Below are 24054 nucleotides of genomic sequence, written 5' to 3'. Positions count from 1 at the left end.
AACAGAGCAAGACTCCATGTCAAAAAAAAAGAAAGAAAGAAAGAAAGAAAGAAAAGAAAAATTAGCCAGGCATGGTGGCACTCACCTGTGGTCCCAGTTGCTTCAGGGGACTGGAGTGGGAGGATCACTTGAGGCTGGGAGCCAGGGAGGCAGAAGTTGCAGTGAGCCATGATCATGCCACTCCAGCCTAGGTGACAGAACAAGACCCTGTCTCGAAAAAAGAAAAAGTAAAGAAAGATATGTTCACAGTATCTCCAAACCCTGACTGACTTCCCTAGATGCTAAATCAAACATGGGATTCTGTAGCCTAGCACATGTTGGTTATTTATTAAACAATTATTAAATTAATTCAAATAGCCACCAAATTGTGTTACTCAAACCAGCAGTTGGGGGGAAGGAGGACAATGTACTTGGATTTATCTTTTTCACCAAAGGCTTTAATTTCATCTGGGCTGTGGATCATCTTTCCATTGCATAAGTGCTACTATTGCTGTTGCCCATGCTGGACATGGCCCTGAGTTCTTCACATCCACACCTCACTTTATGCTGACAAAAAAAAGAAAAAGAATTGACACATCTCACTTCAGATGCTAAAGAAGTGAGGCATCTCACCTCAGTTGCTATAAACCTGGTGCGTTTATGCTGACACAAGTGACCAGAATCAGATAAGTTATGGGACTTTCAATAATTTTTCGGGCAGCTATAAAGGAGGAAGCACATCCCTTCATTTTCCTGCTGAAAATCACCAACCAGGGCATGGAAAAATCCCAAACCCGGCACCTCTGCTTTAACCAGCCTTGCTGGTGTCCTGGCAGACCAATTTGGAAACCATGATTAATTCCTTAGTAAACAGAAAATAGACTCTGGAGCCAAGAGAAGCCAAATTTGAGTCACTCTCTGGAGACTACATTTGGCCGATCTAGCTCTACCTCCTCCTCCAGGAGCTGGCTCACTTGCCTGGTGACTTTCAGCAAACAGAAAGGCCTTTCCATGGTGGCAGACTAGCACAGTGAAGCAGAGACCAAAGCATGGTTGCCAGTGATGACCATGAGCTGCGGTAGCCCAGATCTATGCAGGGATCACCATGGCCTATATGGATCAAATGAAATTGGTTGAAACCCTAACCTATATGAAATGGAAAACTCAACAAGCTTCCCATTTTCTCCAGCAACTCTGGGGAAAGAAGACAATGTGCCTGGGTTTCTCTTTGTCATCAAGGGAGAACTTCATCTGGTCTGTGGGTCATGTTGCCTTTGCATAAATATTGCTACTCTGTTGTCCATGCTGGACATGGCCCTGAGTCCTACACATCTGCACCTCACTTTAGGTACTTCCCCAAAATACCACCCATTCCAGGTTCTGGGTGTAACTAACTTTTATGGAAGATTCAGAGCAATGGAGAAGTTTTACATGGAAACACCAAAAATAATTTAAAATATCATTGTTCTGTAAAGCCTTTCTACCACTCTGGCCCCAGAAGTTTCTGACCAGTTGTCCTTTCTCCTCAGGCTCTGGCCTCCTGCTCTGCCCACTTCTTCACTTCCTGCTTCCTCCCCTTCCCTCTATCTCCAGTTAAGCCTCTCTCCCTAATTCATGTCACTTTATGTAAACGTAATTTTGATTTCCCATCTCCTTGCAGACTGTGTCCTCACCTTGAACTCTTAAAACATTTTCATAAAGAAAGACACCTCTTTTGCAAACAGGAAATGTATGGCTCATGGTTCAAATACATTTACAAACACATACACCTGTACCTGTTTATTACCATCAGAAAACACAGGAGCAGAGGTACAAGCTTCCAGAGGGTGGACCCATAGGACAAGAATGGTAGGGCTGGGCAAAAGGTGAGGTTTTTAAAATGCATTTTAATTTTTACATGTGAGTACTACTTTTCCCTTACTTTCCTAGGGTGTGTATTCACTGGAAATACTAAAGATTCTTGGTTGCTGTGAGACTGTCTGAGGCCAGGTGGGCCCTGAGAAGCCAGCTCCCCCTACTCACCAACATATACATGGTGCTCCTGGCACCTCAGGCTGTCACTTCACTTTCTCTGGGTGCCACCTGTTATTTCAATCTCTACGCTTTTGTTCATGCTGTTTCACTCCCGCCACTCCCCAACACACTCTTTTGCCTCCTGCAATGCTTTTCTAACTTTCACCTCCTGAATCACATCCATTCTTCAAGGTTTTTCTGCATGAAATCTCCCAGATTGAGGCATTTGGTTTTATTCTTTCTCCTTCTTATTTGTTTCATTTACATAGGCATTTCCTCCCTACCAGTAATATGTCTGGCACTTTCTCTGTGTTCCCCTAGATGAACTAGCACAGTTTCAGACACACAATAGATGCTCAGCAATGCCTATTGAATTGGTTGAAACAGATCACAGTGTCTCTAAACCAGAGTGTAATTAACCACAAATATTAATTTGCCCAGTTGAGGTCAGCTGAAGAAACCTGAAACCCTGGAAATAGCATTGTCAGGAGATTTAGGTAGTTTCTAATACAAAATCTAGTATCTACATTTTTTTGTGAATTTGGGCCGGTTATTTAACTTCTTTGAGCATCACTTTTTAATCTGTAATATAAGAAAAATAAAAATACTTGACCTGCTCATCTCATATAGTATGCAGTTGTAAGAATTAAATGGGTACATATTTATATACATATTCTTTTATATATTCATATATAGAGCTATCTATATATATATAACAATGATCTGAGAAGCATTGTGCAGAAGACAAATTATTACAAGTTCCAGGTGTTCCAGATCTCTTTTTAAAAGCTCGACTATTTTATCAAGTAGCATAGATTATACATAGACTATCTTCTAATATTTATTGTGAAACATTTTCCTATAAATAAATGCCAATATTATTTCCCACAAAACATTTCCTTAACCATAAAAAAGCTTTATGACAGCTTTCTAACCTATGCAAATCTCACCTATAAGCAAAATATGTCCTGTTTTTTTTTCCCTCCTGTCAAGAGAATTTATTTTCTTTCCTGTGGGATGTGCTATCATATGAAAATTAAGATATATAAAGGCCATGTTTGATGCCAATATTATGAAAATTATTACACTTTAACATTTGATGGCAAGCTGTGTTGGGAAAAATGTTTAAGAAGTGGCAAATTTTACAAAAGGATCACTAATTTTAGATATTTAGAAAATAATAACAAGTATATTTTCTTATAAGACTCTAACAAATTTTTAAGTAGTTTAGCATATATCTCCTCATTCTTTATGAGGAGTGTATTCCTTTCCTGTGGCTTCTGTAACAAATTGCCACAAACTTGATAGCTTAAAACAACGGAAATTCACTTTCTCACAGTTCTAATTCAGAACTATGATTCGGAAATTTGAAGTCAGTTTCACTGGGCTGAAATCAAGAGGTCAGCAAAGCCGCCTGTGTTCCTTCCACATGCTGTAGGGGAGAATCCATTCATTTCCTTTTCCAGTTTCCGGTGGCTGCCCTCATCCCTTGGTTGTTACTGCGTCACTCCAGGCTCTGCCTCTGTGATCACAGTGCCTCCTCCTCTTCCATGTGTGTAATCTCCCTCTGTCTCTCTCTTAAAAGGGTCCTTGTGCCGGTATTTAGGATTCATCCAGGTAATCTAGGATAATTTCTTGTCTTAAGATCTTTAATCAGATCTGCAAAGACCCTATTGCCAAATAAGATAATATTTTATAAGTTCCAGGGATTCAGATGCACTGTCTTTTGAGGTGCCATTTTCAGCCTATCAAACGGTGGTTCGCAAACTTTAGCATTCATTAACCTTCTCTGGGCCTGGCGCGGTGGCTCACGCCTGTAATCCCAGCACTTTGGGAGGCCGAGGTGGGCGGATCACGAGGGGAGACCATCCTGGCTAACACAGTGAAACCCCGTCTCTATTAAAAATAAAAAAAATTAGCCGGCCATGGTGGCGGGCGCCTGTAGTCCCAGCTACTCGGGAGGCTGAGGCAGGAGAATGGCGTGAACTCGGGAGGCGGAACTTGCAGTGAGCCGAGATTGTGCCACTGCGCTCCAGCCTGGGCGACAGAGCAAGACTTCGTCTCAAAAAAAAAAAAAAAACATTGTCTGAAGGGCTTGTTAAAACACTGGTTGCTGGGCTCCACTCCCAGAGCCTCTGACTCAGTAAGTCTGGGGTGGGGCTCAAGATTTTGAATTATTAACAAACTTCCAGGTGACAAATGCTGCTGGTCATGAGGCCACACTTGGCGAACCTGTAAGAATTATCTTCTTGCTTATTTTTCCCACTTTAAGCTATATGTAGCCAACTTTTTGTGCCCATTTTTTGTACATATTCTAACATCAGAGGTTTTGACAGAAACAAAGCAGCAAGCACCTATTTTCTCCTTTCAGATACTGCCACACGTTCCTCCAATTAGAGCTCTGCAATTAGACATGTCCAGAGATGAAAAATCTTCTATAGACTCATTTAATGCAGCCATTGGTTTCTGTGAGAGAAACCACAGGATAATTAGTACACATTCCTTAGCCTGACATTCAAGATCCTCCATAATATAACTTTAATCCCCACCTTCGGTTTGCAGCTAGATTCTTTGCAGCTCCCCAAATGCCCTCTGCACACCTCTCCCAAGTAGAAGACTTCCTCATGTAGTTTCAGCTAGATAGAGTATCCTTTCATCACTGTTCAAAGTGCCAGCTCTGCCCATCAAAATCCCAGTGTCCCAAAGCCCAAATCATCTGCCTAGCCTTTTCCATTCAAATTAATAAGGTCTCTCCCTTGGCACTGAACTCCCTAGAGCCCTTTGTAAGCTTTTTGTGATAATTAGTATAGTCTCTCTTGAATCATAATTGCCTGTGCACTTTCTAATCCCTCCATGGATTATAAAATTCTTTAGGATAAAGATTATTCCTTGTTTATGTTCGTTTCTTGCGTGGCAGTGATAAATGTTTGTAAAATTGGCAAAAGAATTTTGTCTGTTGTTTAGCACTTCATATCTTCTCCAACTTCCTTGCAGTTAAAAGGCACAGAGATGTCATGGTTGTCTTTTTGGTGACCCTGTAGCACACGACTTTGGGGGAACTCCTCCCACCTCATTCCAGCAATGTGGTTTTGATGATGGCTGTTAATCACAATAACCCACATATAACCCATATTCCTCCCTCTCTCTCCTACAGAGGTGAGCCCCTTTCCTAGATTTTTTACCTTGGCTTCTAGAGAAAATGAGCCCTTTCCTCTCATGGAAGCAGCTGGGAATAAGTTGGCCTTTTGGGGAAAACAGTCTTCAGATAATGAGATTAACATATAAAGAGAAGAATGAGAAGAAGGGAGATGTGAGTCCTTACACCATCACATCTCCAGCAGTTTCATTTTATGGGCTAATATGTTTGCCATTTTGCATACTCTAGTTCAAGTTAGATTCTGCCACTTTCAGTCAAAAGTTCTATCTAATAATCGATGTGAAGCGTAGAGGAACTCATTATCCTTGTTATCCTTTTAGATTGTCTGGATTAGCGTGAGGCTAAACACCACAATAGAGAGCTTCTAACCCTCTGTGTATATAGATAATGCACTGTTTGTGATTATATTAGGTATAATGGAAACTTACACATAATTAATTGTTACAAAGCTATGACAACAGAAAAATAAAAACAGAAGAATCCAACACTTTTTTTTTTTTTCAGGGGAAATATCCCCAGGAATCTTGGTAAGGAAGGCAAATATTATTACTTTTGATAGCTTAAACAGGTAAAGCCCAGATAAGTCAATCGGTTTTAATTATGCAATGTAAAGATAACAAAAGAAATGATTCCTCTTAAAAGAGTGGTAATAAAGAACCAAGAATGGTAGGTAGATAAATACATTTAGAAGATCAGAAAGGCACATACCAAAGAAGTTTGACCAGAAAAATCGCAATTTTCCCAAAGTATTTTTTCAATTGCTAGATGTTTTTGTTTGTTTGTTTGTTTGTTTTTGTTTTTTGGTAGAACAATGTGTTTTCTTTTGGATATATACCCAGTAATGGAATTGCTGGGTCAAATGGTAGTTCTGTTTTAAGTTCTTTGAGAAATCTCCAAACTGCTTTCCGCAGTGGCTAAACTAATTTACATTCCTGCAACCTCATCAACATGCTTTTTGTTTTTTTACTTTTTAATAATAGCCATTCTGGTTTAATAATAGCTTTCACCGGTATGAGATGGTATTTCATTGTGGTTTTGATTTGCATTTTCTCCAATGATTAGTGATGTTGAGCATTTTTTCATGTTCGTTGGCTGCATGTGTGTCTTCTTTTGAGAAGTGTCTGTTTATGTCCTTTTCCTATTTTTGAAATGGGATTGTTTGTTTTTTTACCTGCTGATTTGCTTAAGTTCCTTACAAATTCTGGATATTTGACCTTTGTTACATGTAAAGTTTGAGAATATTTTCTCCCATGCTGTAGGTTGTCTGTTTACTGTATTGATAGTTTCTTTTGCTGTGCAAAAGGTCATTAATTAGGTCCTACTTGTCAATTTTTATTTTTGTTGCAATTGCTTTTAGAGTCTTTATCATGAAATCTTTGCCAAGGTCTAGGTCCAGAATGATATTTCCTAGGTTTTCTTCTAGCGTTTTTAGTTTTAGGTCTTATATTTAAGTCTTTAATCCATTTGGAGTTGATTTTTGCATATAGTGAAAGGAATAGGTCCAGATTCAATCTTCTGCATATGACCAGCCAGTTATCCCAACACGATTTATTGAATAGGGAGTCCTTTCCCTGTTGCTTGTTATTGTCAGCTTGTTGAAGATCAGATGGTCGTAGCTGTGCAGCTTGGTTTCTGGGTTCTCTAACCTGTTCTATAGGTTTATGTGTCTGTTTTTGTACAACTACCATGCTGTTTTGGTTTTGTTCTCTGGCTTTGTTCTTTTTGCTTAGGATTGCTTTGGCTATTTGGGCTCATTTTTTGTTCCATGTGAATTTCTGAAGTTTTTTCTAATTCTATGAAAAATGATGTTGGTAGTTTGAAAGGAATAGTATTGAGTCTGTACATTGCTTCTGGCACTGTGGCCTTTTTAACAATATTGATTCTTCCTGTCCATGAGCATGCAATGTTTTTCCATTTGTGTTATCTCTTATTTCTTTCAGGAGTGTTTTGTGATTCTAATTGTAGAGATATTTCATCTGCCTGGTTAGCTGCATTCCTAGGTATTTTCTTTTTTCTGTGGCTATTGTGAATGGGACTGCATTCTTGATTTGGCTCTTAGCTTGACATTATTGGCATAAAGAAATGCTACTGATTTCTGTACATTAATTTTCTATCCTGAAATGTTACTGAAGTTGTTTATTAGTTCTAGGAGCCTTTGGGCAGAAACTATGGGGGTTTTCTAGGTATAGAATCATATCATCTGTGGAAGGAGATAGTTTGGCTTCCTCTCTTCCTATTTGGGTGCTGTTTATTTTTTTCTCTTGCCTGACTGCTTTGGCTAGGACTTCCAGTACTATGTTGAATAGGAGTGGTGAGAGTCAGCATTCTTTGTCTTGTTTCAGTTCTCAAAGGAAATACTTCTAGCTTTTGCCTGTTCAGCATGATGTTGGTTGTGGGTTTGTCATAGATGGCTCTTATTATTTTGAGGATTGTTCCTTCAATATCTAGTTTGTTGAGGGTTTTTAACATGAATGTATGTTGAATTTTATTTTTAAAAAAAGTGTTTTCTGTATCTATTGAGATTATCATGTGGTTCTTGTTTTTAGTTTTGTTTATGAGATGAATTACTTTTATTACATAAAAGTGATTTGCATATGTTGAACCAACCTTGCATCCCAGGGATAAAGCCTACATGATCATAGTGGATTAGCTTTTTGATGTGCTGCTAGATTTGGTTTGCTAGTATTTTGTTGAAGATTTTTGCATCTATATTTATAAGGTATTTTGGCCTGAAGTTTCCTTTTTTCATTGTGTCTCTGCCAGGCTTCAGTGCCAGAATGATGTTGGCCTCATAGAATAAGTTACGGAGGAATCCTTCCTCCTCAATTTTTTGGAGTAGTTTCAGTAGGATTGGTACTAGCTCTTCTTTGTACATCTGGTAGAATTTGGCTGTAAATCCTTCTGGTCCAGAGCTTGTTCTGGTTGGTTAAGTTTTTAATTACTGACTCAGTTTCAGAACTCATTATTTGTCTGTTCGGGATTTCAATTTCTTCCCGGTTCAATCTTGGGAGGTTTTATGTTCCAGGAATTTATCCATTTCTTGTAGGTTTCCTAGTTTGTGTGCACAGAGGTGTTCATAATAGACTCTGAGAGTTTTTTGTATTTCTGTGGGGTCAGTGGTAATGTCACCTTTATTATTTCTGATTGTGTTTATTTGGATCTTCTCTCTTTTTTCTTTATTAATCTAGCTAGTATTCTATCAATCTTGTTTATTGTTTCAAAAAACCAAGTTCATGTCTCAATTTCAATCAGTTCAGCTCTGATTTTGGTTATTCCTTTTCTTCTACTAGTTTTGGGACTGGTTTGCTCTTGCTCTTCTAGTCTCTCTAAGTGTGATGTTAGTTTGTTAATTTGAGGATCTTTTTAACATCTTGATATAGGAATTTAGCACTATAAACTTTCCTCTTAACATTACATTAGAATCTCTGAGTAAATGAAGATTCTAGTAATGCTGTATCTTTGTTTTCATTAGTTTCAAAGAATTTTTTGATATCTGTCTTAATTTCATTCTTTATTCAAAATCATTCAGGACCACGTTGTTTAATTTCCATGTAATTTATGGTTTTTGAGAGATCTTTGTATTGATTTCTATTTTTATTGCTCTGTAGCCCAAGAGTGTGGTTGATATGATTTTGGTTTTTTAAAATTTGTTTGGAATTGCTTTATGGCCGAGCATATTGTCCATCTTAAAGTATGTGCTGATGAGAAGAATGTATATTCTTATTGTTGGGTGGAGTGTTCTGTAGATGTCTGTTAGGTCTGTTGGTCAAGTGTCAAGTTTTGCTCCTGAATATCTTTGTTAGTTTTCTACCTCAATGATCTAACACTGTCAGTGGGGTGTTGAAGTCTCCCACTGTTATTGTGTGGCTATCTAAGTTTCTTCAGAGGTCTCTAAGAACTTGTTTTTATGAATCTGGGTGCTCCAATGTTGAGTGCATATATATTTAGGATAGTTAAGTCTTCTTGTTGAATTAAACCCTTTATCAGTATGTAATGCCCTTCTTTGTCCTTTTTAATCATTGTTGGTTAAGTCTGCTTGTCTGAAATAAGAACAGCAACCCTGCTCTTTTTTGTTTTTCATTTACTTGATAGATCTTTCTCCATCCTTTTATTTTGAGCCTATAGGAGTCATCAGATATGAGATGGGTCTCTTGAAGACAGCATACGGTCAGATCTTCCTTCTTTATCCAAGTTGCCACTCTGTGCCTTTTAAGTTGGGTGTTTAGTCCATTTACAATCAAGGTCAATATTGATATGTAAGAATTTGATCCTATCATCTTGTTGTTAGCTGGTTGTTATGTAGACTTGATTGCATAGCTGTTTTATAGTGTCAGTGGGCTGTGTACCTAAGTGTGTTTATGTGTGGTAGGTATCAGTCTTTCCTTTCCATGTTTAGCACTCCCTTAACAAACTCTTGTAAGGCAGGTCTCATGGTAATGAATTCCCTTAGCATTTGTTTGTCTAAAAAGGATTTCATTTCTCCTTTGCTTATTAAGCTTAGTTTGGCTGGCTATGAAATTCTTGGTTGGAATTTCTGTGCTTTAGTGATGCTCTATGTAGGCCCCTAATCTCTTCTGGCTTGTAAGGTTTCTGCTGAAAGATCCACTGTTAATCTGATGGGGTTCTCTTTGTATATGACCTGCCCCTTCTCTCTGGCTGCCTTTAAGATTTTTTTATTTCATACTGAACTTGCAGTATGTGATGACTATGTATCTCGGAGATGGTCATCTTGTATAGTATCTTACAGGGGTTCTCTGAACTTCCTGAATTTGCAAGTCAACCTCTGTAGCAAGATTGGGGAAATTTTCATGGACAATATCCTCAAATATGTTTTCCAAGTTGCTTACTTGCTCTCCATCCCTTTCAGGAATGCCAATGAGTCATAGGTTTGGCCTCTTTACATAATCCCATATTTCTCAGAGGTTTTGTTCATTTTTTTAAATTATTTTTTCTTTATTTTTGTCTGTCTGCACTGATTTGAGAGAGTGGTCTTTAAACTCTGAGATTCTTTCCTCAGCTTGGTCTAGTCTGTTATTAATGCTTCCAATTGCATTATGAAACTCCTGTAGTAAATTTTTCATTTCCAGAACTTCAGTTTGGTTCTTTCTTTTTTTTTAGACGGAGTTTTGCTCTTGTTGCCCAGGCTGGAGTGAAATGGCATGATCTCAGCTCACTGCAACCTCTGACTCCCAGGCTCAAGCAATTCTCCTGCCTCAGCCTCCCAAGCAGCTGGGATTATAGGCACCGGCCACCATGTCTGGCTAATTTTTTGTATTTTTAACAGAGGTGAGATTTTACCATGTTGGCCAGGCTGGTCTCAAACTCCTGACCTCAGGTGCTCCACCCACCTCAGCCTCCCAAATTGCTGGGATTACAGGCGTGAGCCACCATGCCCAGCCCAGTTTGGTTCTTTCTTAAAGTGGCTAGATTTGGAAGCAGCCTAGGTGTTCATCAACAGATGAATGGATAAAGAAAATGTGGTACTTATACACAATGGAGTACTATTCAGTCATAAAAAGAATGAGATTCTGTCATTTGCAACAACATGGTTGGAACTGGAGATCATTATGCTAATGAAATAAGTCAGGCACAGAAAGAAAAACATCACACATTCTCATTTATAGGATCTAAAAATCAAAATGATTGAACTTCTGAAGAGAGAAGATACAAGGATGGTTACCAGAGGCTGGGAGAGGTAGTGCGGGGCTGGGAGGAGGTAGGGATGGTTAATGGGTACAAAAAAATACACAGTATGAATAAGACCTAGTATTTGATAGCACAACAGGGGGACTATAGTCAATAATAATTTAATTGTACATTTTAAAAATAACTAAGAGTATAACTGGATTGTTTGTAACAGAAAGGATAAATGCTTGAGCGGATAGATACCCAATTTTCCATGATGTGGTTATTATGCATTGCATGCCTGTATCAAAATATCTCATGTACTCCAGAATTATATATAGCTACTATGTACCCACAAAAAGTCAAAAGTTAAAAAAAATTTTTTAGTTTTTAAATGGTTTCATCTTTCAACTGTTGGATCATTTTACTGGTTTCCTTGGATTGGGTTTCAACTTTCTCCTGTATCTTGTTGAGCTTCCTTGCCATGCAGATTCTGAATTCTATGTCTGTCATTTCAGCCATTTCAATCTTGTTAAGAACCATATCTGGGTAGTTAGTGTGGTCATTTGGAGGTAAGAAGACACTCTGACTGTTACAGTTGCCAGAACTCTTGTGCTGGTTCTTTCTCATCTGTGTGGGCTGATGTTCTTTTAATCTTTGAAGTTGCTGTCCTTGAATGTGGCTTTTTGCTTTTATATTTTTTGATGCCCTTGAGGGTTTGACTTTGGTATAAGTTGGGTTTACTCAATTGGCTTCCTTTCTGGATACTTTTAGGGGCCCAGGGGTCAGCTCAACACTCCTGGGCTGCATGTTCTAACCCTGTGGGGCTGAGACTCGGCCCGTGGCTTTGTTCTCTGGCTTCTTGAGATTAAGCACTGCTGTGCTGGAAGGGCCAAAGTGTTCCAGTCCACTGGCAACAATAGGCCCACAAGGACTGCCAGCAAAAGCCTCTGATGGGGCAGCAGGGGGTGGGGGAGTCCAGAAGAGTGTGCTGCAGTGCAGAGGCCATGGGGGAGTAAGCAGCAGCAGGATGGTATGACAGAGGGAGGGTATGGGCATGGGCACAGTGGTGAGGTGGCAGCAGTCCACACACATGCACACTGCCAGGATGGTGGTGGTCTCAATGGGACTGCGCACTGGTAGGGCAGCTGGGGGAGGCTGCAGGCAGGTGTCTGCCAGCTAGGGTGTGTCTGCAAAAGTGCTCCAATGGGAACATGGCTGCTGCCAAGCATTCCAGCAGGGCAGCTGAGGCCTGCTGCAAGTGGATGTGTCCAGGCCTGGACCCTAGGAGAGGCCAGCAGACAGGAAGGTGTTCAGATCATACTGACCCTATCCCACAGGCATGACTGCCCTGCTCTCTCCAAATCTGGCAGCTAACAAAGTTTATAGACACCTAGAGGAGTATGGCAAGCCTTGGGGGATGAGTACTCCAAGGCTATGTTCCAGAGCAGACGTTCTCACACCAAACCCTCTGGGCTTTGTGCAAGCTAGAGCTCTGTCTCTGCCAATTCTCTGGGCAGTTCTCCCTGACAACTCAAATATCCATCCATCGGGGTCGTGGGGTCTCCCACAGCTAGGATCCTGGAGGTCCATGGTGAGAGTGGGCTGCTCCATGCCTATTCAACTTACTGCTTCCCTAAGAGCCACTTGTGGTCAGGATTGAGTTCCAGTGCTTGGCAACCCTGTGCAGGATTTCCAACTTTCTCTCCTTTCAGCCCCAGGGTCTGCATCCTCCCTCTGTCCACTCTCAATGCCTTCTTTCCAAAGATCTGTTTGGAGTGTGCTGGTCTACTTGATGGTCTTGTCTCTCTTGGTGGGAGAAGGACGGGGAAGATCAGGAGGGGTCATCCAAGGGGTACAAAGTTAGAGTTAGGCAGAATAAGTTCTATCTTCTATTACATAGTAGAGTGGCCATAGCTAATAACAGTGTATTGTACGGCTGGGCACAGTAGCTCACGCCTGTAATCCCAGCACTTTGAGAGGCTGAGGCGGGTGGATCACCAGGTCAGGAGATCAAGACCATCCTGGCTAACACGGTGAAACCCCGTCTCTACTAAAAATACAAAAAAAAAAAAAAAATTAGCCGGGCGTGGTGGCGGGCGCCTGTAGTCCCAGCTACTCGGGAGGCTGAGGCAGGAGAATGGCGTGAACCCGGGAGGCAGAGCTTGCAGTGAGCCAAGATCAGGCCACTGCACTCCAGCCTGAGCAACTGAGCAAGACTCCGTCTCAAAAAAAAAAAACAAAACCAAAAACAAAAAAAAAAAACAGTGTATTGTACATTTCAAGATAGCTGGAAAAGAAGATCTTGAAAGTTTTCACCACAAAGAAATGATAAAGGTTTGAGGTGATGGACATGCTACATGCTAACTAATACTGATTTAATCATTATACAATATATACATGTATTGAAACATCACATTGTACCCCATAAACATGTACAATTATTATGCGTCAATTATAAACAAAATAAAAGAATATTCACAGCGTTAATTTATAAACTTTGAATCATACTATCATATGATTTTCAAATATATATATTTCACTTAATGATGTATTTTGAGCATCTTTCCATGTCAATAGCGAATATTTCTGTACCTGTTTTTGTTTTTTGTTTTTTGTTTTTGAGACAGGGTCTCACTTTGTCACCCAGGCTGGAGTGCAGTGGTGCGATCATGGCTCACTGCAGCCTCAATCTCCTAGGCTCAAGCAATCCTCCTGCCTCTGCCCCACAAGTAGCTGCAACTACAGGTGCACACCACCATGCCAGGCTAATTTTTGTATCTTTCTGTAGAGATGGGGTTTTGCCATATTGCCCAGGCTTGTCTCGAACTCCTAATCACAAGTGATCCACTCACCTCAGCCTCCCAAAGTGGTGGGATTACAGGCGTGAACCACCACATCTGGCCTACCTATCATTTTTAATGGCAGTGAGACATTCTATTGTGTTGATATAACTTATGTACAGTTTCCTTTTACAGGATATATAGATTATTTTTAATCTTTCATTGCAACAAACTACTTTGCAATAAATATCTTTATGAATCATTTCCTTCATCCCCAATGTTTTCCTTAGGACAAACTCCTAAAAGTAGTGTTTTTATAGTATTTTGGGGTCAAAGGGAGTGTACATTTGTAAAGCTTTTGATAAAAGACCCTATGTTTTTCTGAGGACCCTTTGAAACACTTGTCTAGAATTTCAGCAACATGACAGTGAAACATAGAGTCTGAAAATGGCAGAACTACACCTAAAGATGCCCTTAATCATCCACTTTCAGAGGATAACTCTGAGGTGCCAGCAGGTCAATTAATTTTTTCTTTTTTTTTGACGGGGCCTTGTTCTGTCACCAAGGCTGGAGTGCAGTGGTGCAATCACGGCTCATTGCAACCTTGACCTCTTGGGCTCAAGTGACCCTTTTATCTCAGCCTCCTGAGTAGCTGGGACTACAGGCACATGCCACCATGCCTGGCTAATTGTCTTATTTTCTTGTAGAGACAGGGTCTCCCTATGCTGCCCAGGCTGGTCTTGAACTCCTGGGCTCAAGTAATCCTCCCACCTCAGCCTCCCAGAGTGCTGGGATTATAGATGTGAGCCACTGCGCCTGGCCCTGATTACTTCCTTAGTATATTATGTATTACCTTGATAGTCTGAAAGACAACAGTTTAGTTTATATGTACAGAATACACAATACAAGAATTTTCTCACTATTTTCTAATGTTAGTTAATTTGATTTAGGGTTTGTTTCTTTGGATTGACATTTGGGTTGCTATTGCTGTGTTTTAATAAGTAGACATTTTCTGGTTTAGCACGATAAGATAGTAGTAAGTTTGTAATGGAATGGTATGCCAGAAAACTTCCACTCTACCAGTCTACAACAGCTAAGAGCTATACTTTCCATTTTGGTTACAACTAGGGGTGGCCATGTGACTTGGCACATGTTATGCAAGCTGCAAGGATATGAGCCCTCCCCTTGGCCCTTCTCCTCTTCCCGCTGGTTGGAATGCAGATGGTGGCAGTTGCAGGAGCAGCTACATTAGACCACAAGATGGAAACTTCATGTTGAGAATGGCAGAGCACCCAGATGGAAAGAGCCTGATCCCTTGCACTATGAAATGGCCATATCAGCTCTAGTCTATTTAAGCTTGACTATTTTGTGAGAAAGAAAGAAATTTCCATCTTGTCTGACACTGTTATGTTGGCCTTTGTTTCAGGAGCTGACCTGGTATCCTAACACAGAAGATTTGGGGTGTTTGGTCATTTATTTTCACCGGCCACTACCAGAATATTCCATGTGGCAGATTCAAATTGCAACAAAGATTTTTTTAGGTTAAATGACAAGGACTATCGTTGACAGCCAAGTAAGTGAAAGCCAAAATATTTTAATAAGAAATAGGTACAAATTCTTTCACTATTTAATGAGTTTTTTCCTTTGAAACTAAAATCCACTTACAGTATATAAAAGGAATGATTTGGTTCACTGACTTTTTGGCTTGCTCTGTGGTGAGTGAAAAGTTAGACTCCATGGCTTTGGTCTCTTTTTGATATAATTCTTGGTGATTCTATAGATTTCCCCAATGTCTTTGATATTCAGGGATCTTATAAAGATAAAGCTTCAAATCATAAAAATCAACTCAAATTGCATATGAAAACATGCAAACATCACTGCTTTATAAATTCTAACCATACTTACATATTACCTCATAGGCTAAAAAGATCTAGATACCACTGACTAAATGATAATTTTTATAGTATTTAGTAAATACATGAAGTTGATGATTTTTATATACATGTTAGAGGTGAGGAACATGAGAAGAAAAAAAGCAATTAGGCCACAAATGAGTTGATTTGTAGGCACTACAGATTTACCAAAATGGAGATTTTTATATACAGTTGGCCACTGAACAATACAGGTTTGAACAGCATGGGTCCACTTATACACAGATTTTTTTTTTTTTTTTTGAGACAGGGTCTCACCCTGTCGCCCAGGCTGGAAAGCAGTGGCATGATCACAGCTCACTGCAGCCTCAGCCTCCCAGGCTGAAGTGATCCTCCCACCTCAGCCTCCTGAATAACTGGGACTACAGGTATGTGCCACCATAGCTGGCTAATTCGTGTTTTGTTTTATTTTTGTAGAGACAGGGTTTCACTATGTTGCCCAGGCTGGTTTCAAACTCCTGGACTCAAGTGTCTGCTCACCTCGGCCTCCCAAAGTGCTGTGATTATAGGCGTGAGCCACTGTGCCCAGCCAACAGATATTTTTCAATAAATATATTGGAACATTTTTTGGAGATTTGCGACAATTTGAAAAAACTTGCAGACAAAATGTGCAGCCTAGAAATATCAAAAAATTAAGAAAAAAATTAGATAGGTCATACATGCATAAAATGTACGTAGATACTAGTCTATTTGATTATCTACCATCACAAAATATATACAAATCTATTATAAAAAGTTAAAATTTATCAAAACTTATGCACACAGACCATTCATGGTCTCATTTGCAGTTGAGAGAAATGTAAACAAACATAGAAATGCAGTATTCAATTATAACTACACAAAATTAACTGCAGCAAATACTATACTGCTGTAATAATTTTGTGGCCACCTCCTGTTGCTGTTGCGATGAGTTCAAGTGTTGTGAGTATCTGCTTAAAACACTGTGTGATGCTAATTATCTCCACGTGAGCCATTTTTCTTTCCAGTAGAACTGAAGTAAAAAGTATCTCTCACAGTTCTTGCCTATTTTTCACCATGCTTAGGGAAATACCTCAAACTTGAATAACACCAAGGGACCCATACAAATGCCACCAATGATGCTGGAAGTGCTCCCAAGAATCAGAGAAAGTCATGACATGGCCGGGCGCGGAGGCTCACGCCTGTAATCCCAGCACTTTGGGAGGCCGAGGCGGGCAGATCATGAGGTCAGGAGATCAAGACCATCCTGGCTAACACGGTGAAACCCCGTCTCTACTGAAGATTCAAAAAAAATTAGCCGGGTGTGGTGGCAGGCACCTGTAGTCCCAGCTACTCAGGAGGCTGAGGCAGGAGAACGCCATGAAGCCGGGAAGTGCAGCTTGCCATGAGCCAAGATCACATGACTGCACTCCAGCATGGGCGACAGAGCAAGACTCCGTCTCAAAAAAAAAAAAAAAAACAGAAAGTCGTGACATGACAAGAAGTTGAATTGCTTGATGTGTACCGTAACTTGAGATCTGCAGCTGCAGTGTCTGCCATTTCAGACAGAGGATTCATCTTGGAAACTGATGACATAAACTTAATAAACACAGAATGGTACCATAAACATATTTATCTTCCTTATGATTTTCTTAATAACCTTTTCTCTAGCTTACTTTATTGTAAGATGACAGCATATAATATAACATACAAAATGTGTTAAGCAACTGTTTTTGTTATTGGTAAGGCCCACGGTAGGCTAGCAGTAGTCAAGTTTTTGGGGAGTCAAAACTTATAGGAGAATTTTTGACTGCAGGGGCATCGGCATCCCTAACCCTTACAATGCTCAAGGGTCAACTGTACATAATATCTCCATACTGTATATCTATCTCTCCAGCTATACATCTCTAGCATCCATTTCTTTCTTTCTAATAGCACCCGGAATTCCTTTTGGAGAAAGGAAACCCCCTATGCAGTGTTCTGTCCTGTAAATACAGATGCATGTCTCCGTGGAAATGGAAGGGACCATATCCTCCCTGGCCCCTGACTCACCTCGGCCAAGGAGCAGGCAGTGAGGAATCAGCCAGGCAATGCTCTCCCCTGGCCTTTTGAAACTTGAGAGAGACACAAGGAAACAGCTGTGGCTCTGGCCTCAAGCAGTATTTTTGAGTGCCCAAGGTTCTAGCCTGTTTCCAAACCTGGCTCTGCAATATCCCATCAATTCCAAGCACACCACCACCGGCACCAAATCTTTCATGCCTATAAATATTCTTTAGCTTCAGTTAGTCAGTTTTTGTTAGCAACAGCCAAGAGACTCTCATCATTATACAACTTCTCATTCTCTAGCAAGTTCTCTTTGTTAAAAACCTAAATAAATGAATATATATAAAATTATGTTAAAAAGTTTTATAGGGTGTATGTCTATGTTTTGTTGGATACAATTCAAGAATTTGTTATGTGTATTTTAGTTTTTTCCCCTTTAAGATAAAAATATTTTCTGCCTGAAACTTTTTTTTTTTTTGGAGACAAAGTCTTGCTCTGTGGCCCAGACTGGAGTGTAGTGGCGTGATCTTGGCTCACTGCAACCTCCACCTTGTGGGTTCAAGCAATTCTCCTGCCTCACCCTCCCAAGTAGCCAGGACTACAGGCATGTGCCACCATGCCCAGTTAATTTTATATTTTTAGTAGAGATAGGGCTTCACCATGTTGGCCAGGCTGGTCTTGAACTCCTGACCCCAGGTGATCCACCTGCCTTGGCCTCCCAAAGTGCTGGGATTACAGGCATTAGCTACCATGTCTGGCCTGTCTGAAACTTTTAACTTGTACTTTAACACTTAAGTAACTTTTTTAAGTCCCTGAATTATTCTTTTTTTATATACTAATTTACATATTCTTAATTAATCTGTATTCTTTAAAATAATTAGTAAATATCATGATACAGCTTCGGATTTTATCTTTTCCACACTAGGAACCCTAAACCAAATTGGGAAACAATTTAATAGTTAAAACAAGTAACTTAGCACTCCTAATGCACAAAATTATTTGCCTCTGATTTGCACAGTTTTCCATTTTACACATCAGCCAAGCGGAAACAACTGGTTGCTAAGCAACAGCTTTTCCCTCAACAACCAGAAATAGAATACATAGAAGGTCAATTTAAAAATATATAATATACACATATATGAAGTTAAAGAGGGCACATGCCTCATAGTTTGGCTATTTGCCCAGAATTCTTGTCATGAATATTGAATTCTTGATGATAGTTTGTGAATTCTGGATACATTTGATGTATGAATCCTTGGGTAACTATATCATTTTGTATTTTCTTCCAGTATGTTCCTCACTACTGAAAAACTATGAAGTAACACGGAAATCAGGATTTTAAAGCAAATCTCTTTTGAAAAACTGTTTGTAAATTGTACAGTTAGGTTTGGTTGAACCAAGTCATTCTTAAAGTAGCATTAACATTCCTGTTGCACTGCTGCTCACTCTGTTAAAACTACATACATATTTAATGCTCTGGAAAGATATAGTCTGGGTGGTTAATAGTGACTACCACAGGCAAATGACCATTCACTTTCATATCTATGTATTCTTTACAAAGAAAATAATAATTGCTAGTAATGATTGGGTGTTTACAAAGTACTAGGCACTGTTCTAAGCTCAATATACATATTAACTTGCATTAATATTCCCCATTTGGCAGATGAGGACAAAGGCTCAGAGAGATTATATAACTTGCTCACAGTCATGAATCTAAGAAGCAGCAGAGCCAGTATCTGAAGTCAAGCAGTGAGCCTCCAGGTCTTCACCACTTCACTGTTCTGCCTTTTACAAGGTGGTTCCCATATTGCCTAAATACTTTCTTAAAAAATTATACTGCCCCAGGACATACAGAATTGTAGTTATCTCTGGGTGCTCAATTCATTAGCAGCTTTTCACCACTGGCTTTAATCAGTTTTACACCAGCAGGAATTAAGAGCATAACGGAAATGGGAGTGATGAAGATCAACATGTGGATTGATTCAGTCAACAGAGAACTAAAATTGTGCCAAATCAATGGAACCTGTGGCCACATGCTATGCTTACTCAAAATAGATCATGCAGCTACAGAAGTTTCTAAGGAATCTCTTTGAATAAATACCATTTCTGGGAATTGATTTCCTTCTTAAAGGTATATTTAGTGATTTCTTTTCAAAATGTACTTAATATACAAAAAAGAATAAAAGACAAACATTATTATTCTTAGCAGCTAGAGTGAGATACCATCTTAATGAGAGCCAATCATTTGTTCAGAAAGTGTTTTACTTTGCTTACAGTCTAGGCTGACAAGGATTTGCACACCTGTGGTCTAGCTACACACACGAGAATGTTGGATAAAATGTAGATATTTTTTAAGTTTGGAAGAAGATTGAAAGAAAAGGAGACAGGGTAACTGACAGGAGAGAAGAGATGTCCAGTGGGTATTTGGAGGTGAAATGTTTTGAGTGACATAGATTCCTGTATAAATTCATAAAAAATTTCCATATTTCTAAATAAACATTGTTTTCATTTAGAGTACTTGATAACAAATATCCTTTAAAGGAACTTTACCCTCCCTTTATATTGTTATTTAAATTTCTGAAGTGATACAAATTAATAAAAAGCCATGTCCTGGTATATAAGTTTCTCTTCTTCTTTCTCACTTTTGGGATCAATGTAGAAAAGATGAGTGTTTAACAGCAATACAGGCAGAAATTATTTTCTCCTTAAATTATTCCCCCACGGAGGTAGATAAGGTATTCAAGTAAAGAAAAATATAAACCAGACTGGAAAAAGACCACTGAAAATTTTGCTGATTAAAATCAATTTAGGAAAGATGTAAAACGCCAAATACGCTGGTTAATCTCTTTGTTAGAATATTTTTGTGTTCATTCAGTCATTCATTCTGTGTGAGGACACTTCCTTGGACACTGGAGACACAGAAATGAAATGCACACTCCTATACTCACACTGGAGAAGCAGCAGCAGATATATAAACATGAAATTGCAGCTTAATGTAAAGCCTCCTAATGGAGGTAGAAAGAGGGTAGTGGGAACATGTGGGGATGGATTGACCACATAGGAAAATGAGATCTAGGCCTTGAAGCATGAAAACAAATTTGCTAGAGAGTTAAAAACATGTGCAAAGTCCCAGGAAGACATATATATGATGTCAGCGAGAACTCTTTGTACTGCATATTAGGCCGGGGAGACAGGATGGGGCTGGGTAGCTGGGATTTTATTTACTATGTAGAAAATGTGGACTTTATCCTGAGGGCAAGTAGTAACTGACAGAGATGCCAAAAGACAATGAAGCATGTTATAAATGTGAATGTTATAAGTCATGGCAACATACAAATAAAAACATAACTTAAAAAAAATTAGAAGAGAGTGAAACAATGGATACGTGTGCTAATGTACTCAGTTTTCATAGCAAGGAGTCAATAGCTATATCTAAAAATCAGTTAGAAAATAGAGGCCATCTGTATTATGCAAAGTCATAAGAGACAACCAGTAGACAAAGTGAATAAGCTAGACCTGACAAATATGAGAAGGTAAAAGACAGTAATTTAGGTACAGGGTTCTATGAGAATGCTTCCCATTCTTTACAGCAAGGAGTCAGGAGATATTGCCCCGAGGTGATAAATCATGAATGAGAAATTGGCAGAACTTAAAATCGCTGCCTCTGCAAAAGAACACTTGGTTAGAAGGAGTGCCTGGGGAATGAGATGTTTATTTTCATTGGCTATGCTTTTACATAGTTTGAATGATGATTTTTTCTTCTATGCTTGTAGCTCCCACCTGTAATCCTAGCACTTTGAGAGGCTGAGATGGGCAGATCACTTGACTAGGCAGACACACCAGCCTGGTCAACATGGCAAAACCCCATCTCTACTAAAGATACAAAAATTAGCTGGGCATGGTGGTATGCACCTGTAATCCCAGCTACTTGGGAGGCTGAGGCAGGATAATAGCTTGAACCTGGGCAGTGAGCCAATATCACGCCACTGCACTCCAACCTGGGCGACAGAGTGACACCTTGTCTCAAAAAAAAAAAAAATTTATGCTTGAAGGAGAGAAATGGGGAGGGAAAAGGGAAGAGGAGAGAGAGGAAACAAAAGAGTGAGGAGAGAGAAAGAGAGAAATTGGAAAAAGGCTACCACTAGGTAGAAATCTGCCTGGCATTGGTCAGACAAGGTAGATATACAGCTCCTACCCATCCCCCTTCCTAGAGCAGTCTCATCAAACATTTACCCAGGCCTTTTATCTTGAGTTATTATTCACAGTTTAACTAGGTCTTTGATTAAAAACAAATAGGAAATAGTCTAAAAGGAAATATATGTAGAATGTGCTCTACAAATTAAGATGACACCAAATATAAAACATTAAGTAGCTCTGACTTTTTTGAAACAGAAGTAATAAAGTTACCAAAGTTACATTTTAGCTCCCAGCTTCACAAGTAAAATTGCTTAACATATCACATAAAATATATAAGTACCATATTTTTACAACCATAAACTGAGATGTGAAATCGGACAATGAGTTTTTTCGGAGCTGTGAATGTATTATAGAAAATATGTGTTAGAAGTATAATGTTAAAAAAAGTTAACTTGAATAAATCACCTTTATTGAAAAGAATATTATTCTAAAAAAGATCATCCCCAATATCCTATAACAAAGTGCTTTCTGCTGGACACAGCGGCTCACTCACACCAGTAAACCCAACTCTTTGGGAGGCCAAGGTTGGAGAATGGTTTCAGCCCAGGAATTCAAGACCAGCCTCAGCAACACAGTGAGGCCCCCATCTCTAAAATAAATCTTTTTTAATTAGCTGGGCATGGTGGCACATGCCTGTACTCCCAGCTACTCAGGAGGCTGAGGTGGAAGAATTGTTTGAAACTAGGAGGTCAAGGCTGCAGTGAGCGGTGATTGTGTCACTGTACTCCAGCCTGGGTGACAGAGAGCAAGATACTATCTAAAAAAAAAACAACAACAACAAAAATTGAAAGTACTTTCTGTTGGTTTTGATACCTGGAATTCTTTCCCTATATCTGGTGCAAAAGGCAAAAGGGGCACAGATGTCTTTTCTTTTTCTTTCATCACTTTCTCCAACAGCATTATTTATCACTGTACAATCTTTAAAATTCAATCTCTCACCTCCTCTCTTAGGAGTAGGTCTCCAAAGAGATGTTTATTACTCTTCCAGTAATAAACAGCCTTCACTGATATAATGAGAAAGATTGTCTTTAACCCATGCACTCATGGTAAAATATAGACTCCTGAAGACTTCAATGAACTTAAATAATTAGTACTGGTGTCATTTCTCTACTTTAGATATAGAAAACCTAAGGAACAAGAAATGCAAAGCCTTTAATCATAAATTATAATGTAGATGCTAACTTTATTGTTTTTTATTTCTTCATAATTTTGTATGTATATTAGGGATGATTCAAATCTTATTTAAAACAGTCTTAATGAGTTAGAATGAAAAAATGTCATGGGAGTTTTAACTTTCCCTTGGAAATAATATCTTTCTCTAGTGACAAAATTCAAGCTAACTTTTTTAAAATACAGTTTAAAGAAATCAACAACAATCTGTTGGAAGATTTTGCTAAAAAGCAAAGAGCCAACATCCCCAAAAAGAAAAGATTCATGCCATCATTCTGAGACAAAAAATGACATCGATTACACTCAAGGCAAAACAATTTTTTAATGCTTCTCATGGTAGGATCATCTACATAAAACCTGACATGACCAATAAGCCCTTCCTCTTCGCATGTAAAAACATATATATATATATATAATATATATATTTATGAGGCTATATTCTATAATATTCAAGAGTCTGAGGGCTGACTCTGCAAGACCTGAGTTGAAAGCTCAGCTTTGACACCAGCTAGGTGACCTCAGACCAGTTATTCAATCTAAGTCTTGGTTTCCTAAAAGCACCTGTTTCACAGAGTTGTGGTGGGGGGTAAATAGAAAAATGGATATAAAGTGCTTAGCATAGTGAATGGCACAATGTTAGCTTTTGCTCTAAGTAAACTTTATTTAGTTGTTTTAACAGAAATATTTTCTATTTTAAAAAGTACCTTTTAATGCAAATATCCTAGGCTGGCAGTTAACTTTTAATAAGTGGAAAAAAAACACAGAATTGTGCTTAGTTACCTACTATGGATCTAACAAAGGAAATCTAAATGGTAACAATCTAGAAGCCACAGAGGAAGTTATAACATCACCCAGCCCCTCACTGGCCATCTTCATCAGGAACCATCTCCTTTTCATTGAGAAACTATTTTCTCACTAGCAAGAAATGATTGTTATTGTCTGTTGGGATGAGAAGAGTGCTTAGTGATCAAGGGTAACTCCTACAAAACACTTTATAAATGCAAATGTCAACATGATTTTCCTTTGACGTTTCTATCTGAGCATGTTGACAATTCCACCATCAGACAATCTCCTCTGGGCAGGGAGGGGAGGTGGTCCAGTGGAAGAGGTATTGAGAAGACACATATATACCAATAATATGTAGCCCACAAAGCCTAAAACATTTTCTTTCTGGCCCTTGACAGAAAAAGTTTGTCAA

General features: G+C 39.1%; 1 long non-coding RNA gene across 1 annotated transcript in view; it reads right to left on the bottom strand.

Moving 5' to 3' along the window:
• CBSLR (CBS mRNA stabilizing lncRNA) overlaps positions 1-24054 on the bottom strand; it is a 58849-nt gene that overhangs the window by 5426 nt on the left and 29369 nt on the right. Inside the window, exon 2 of the long non-coding RNA XR_007066771.1 lies at positions 86-4458. This is a non-coding gene — a long non-coding RNA (CBS mRNA stabilizing lncRNA). The remainder of the gene's footprint in view (positions 1-85; positions 4459-24054) is intronic.

This window comes from Homo sapiens, chromosome 1, assembly GCF_000001405.40.
Source record: "Homo sapiens chromosome 1, GRCh38.p14 Primary Assembly".
In the NCBI taxonomy this organism is placed as follows: domain Eukaryota; kingdom Metazoa; phylum Chordata; class Mammalia; order Primates; family Hominidae; genus Homo; species Homo sapiens.
This window is presented reverse-complemented; position numbering and strand designations above follow the sequence as displayed.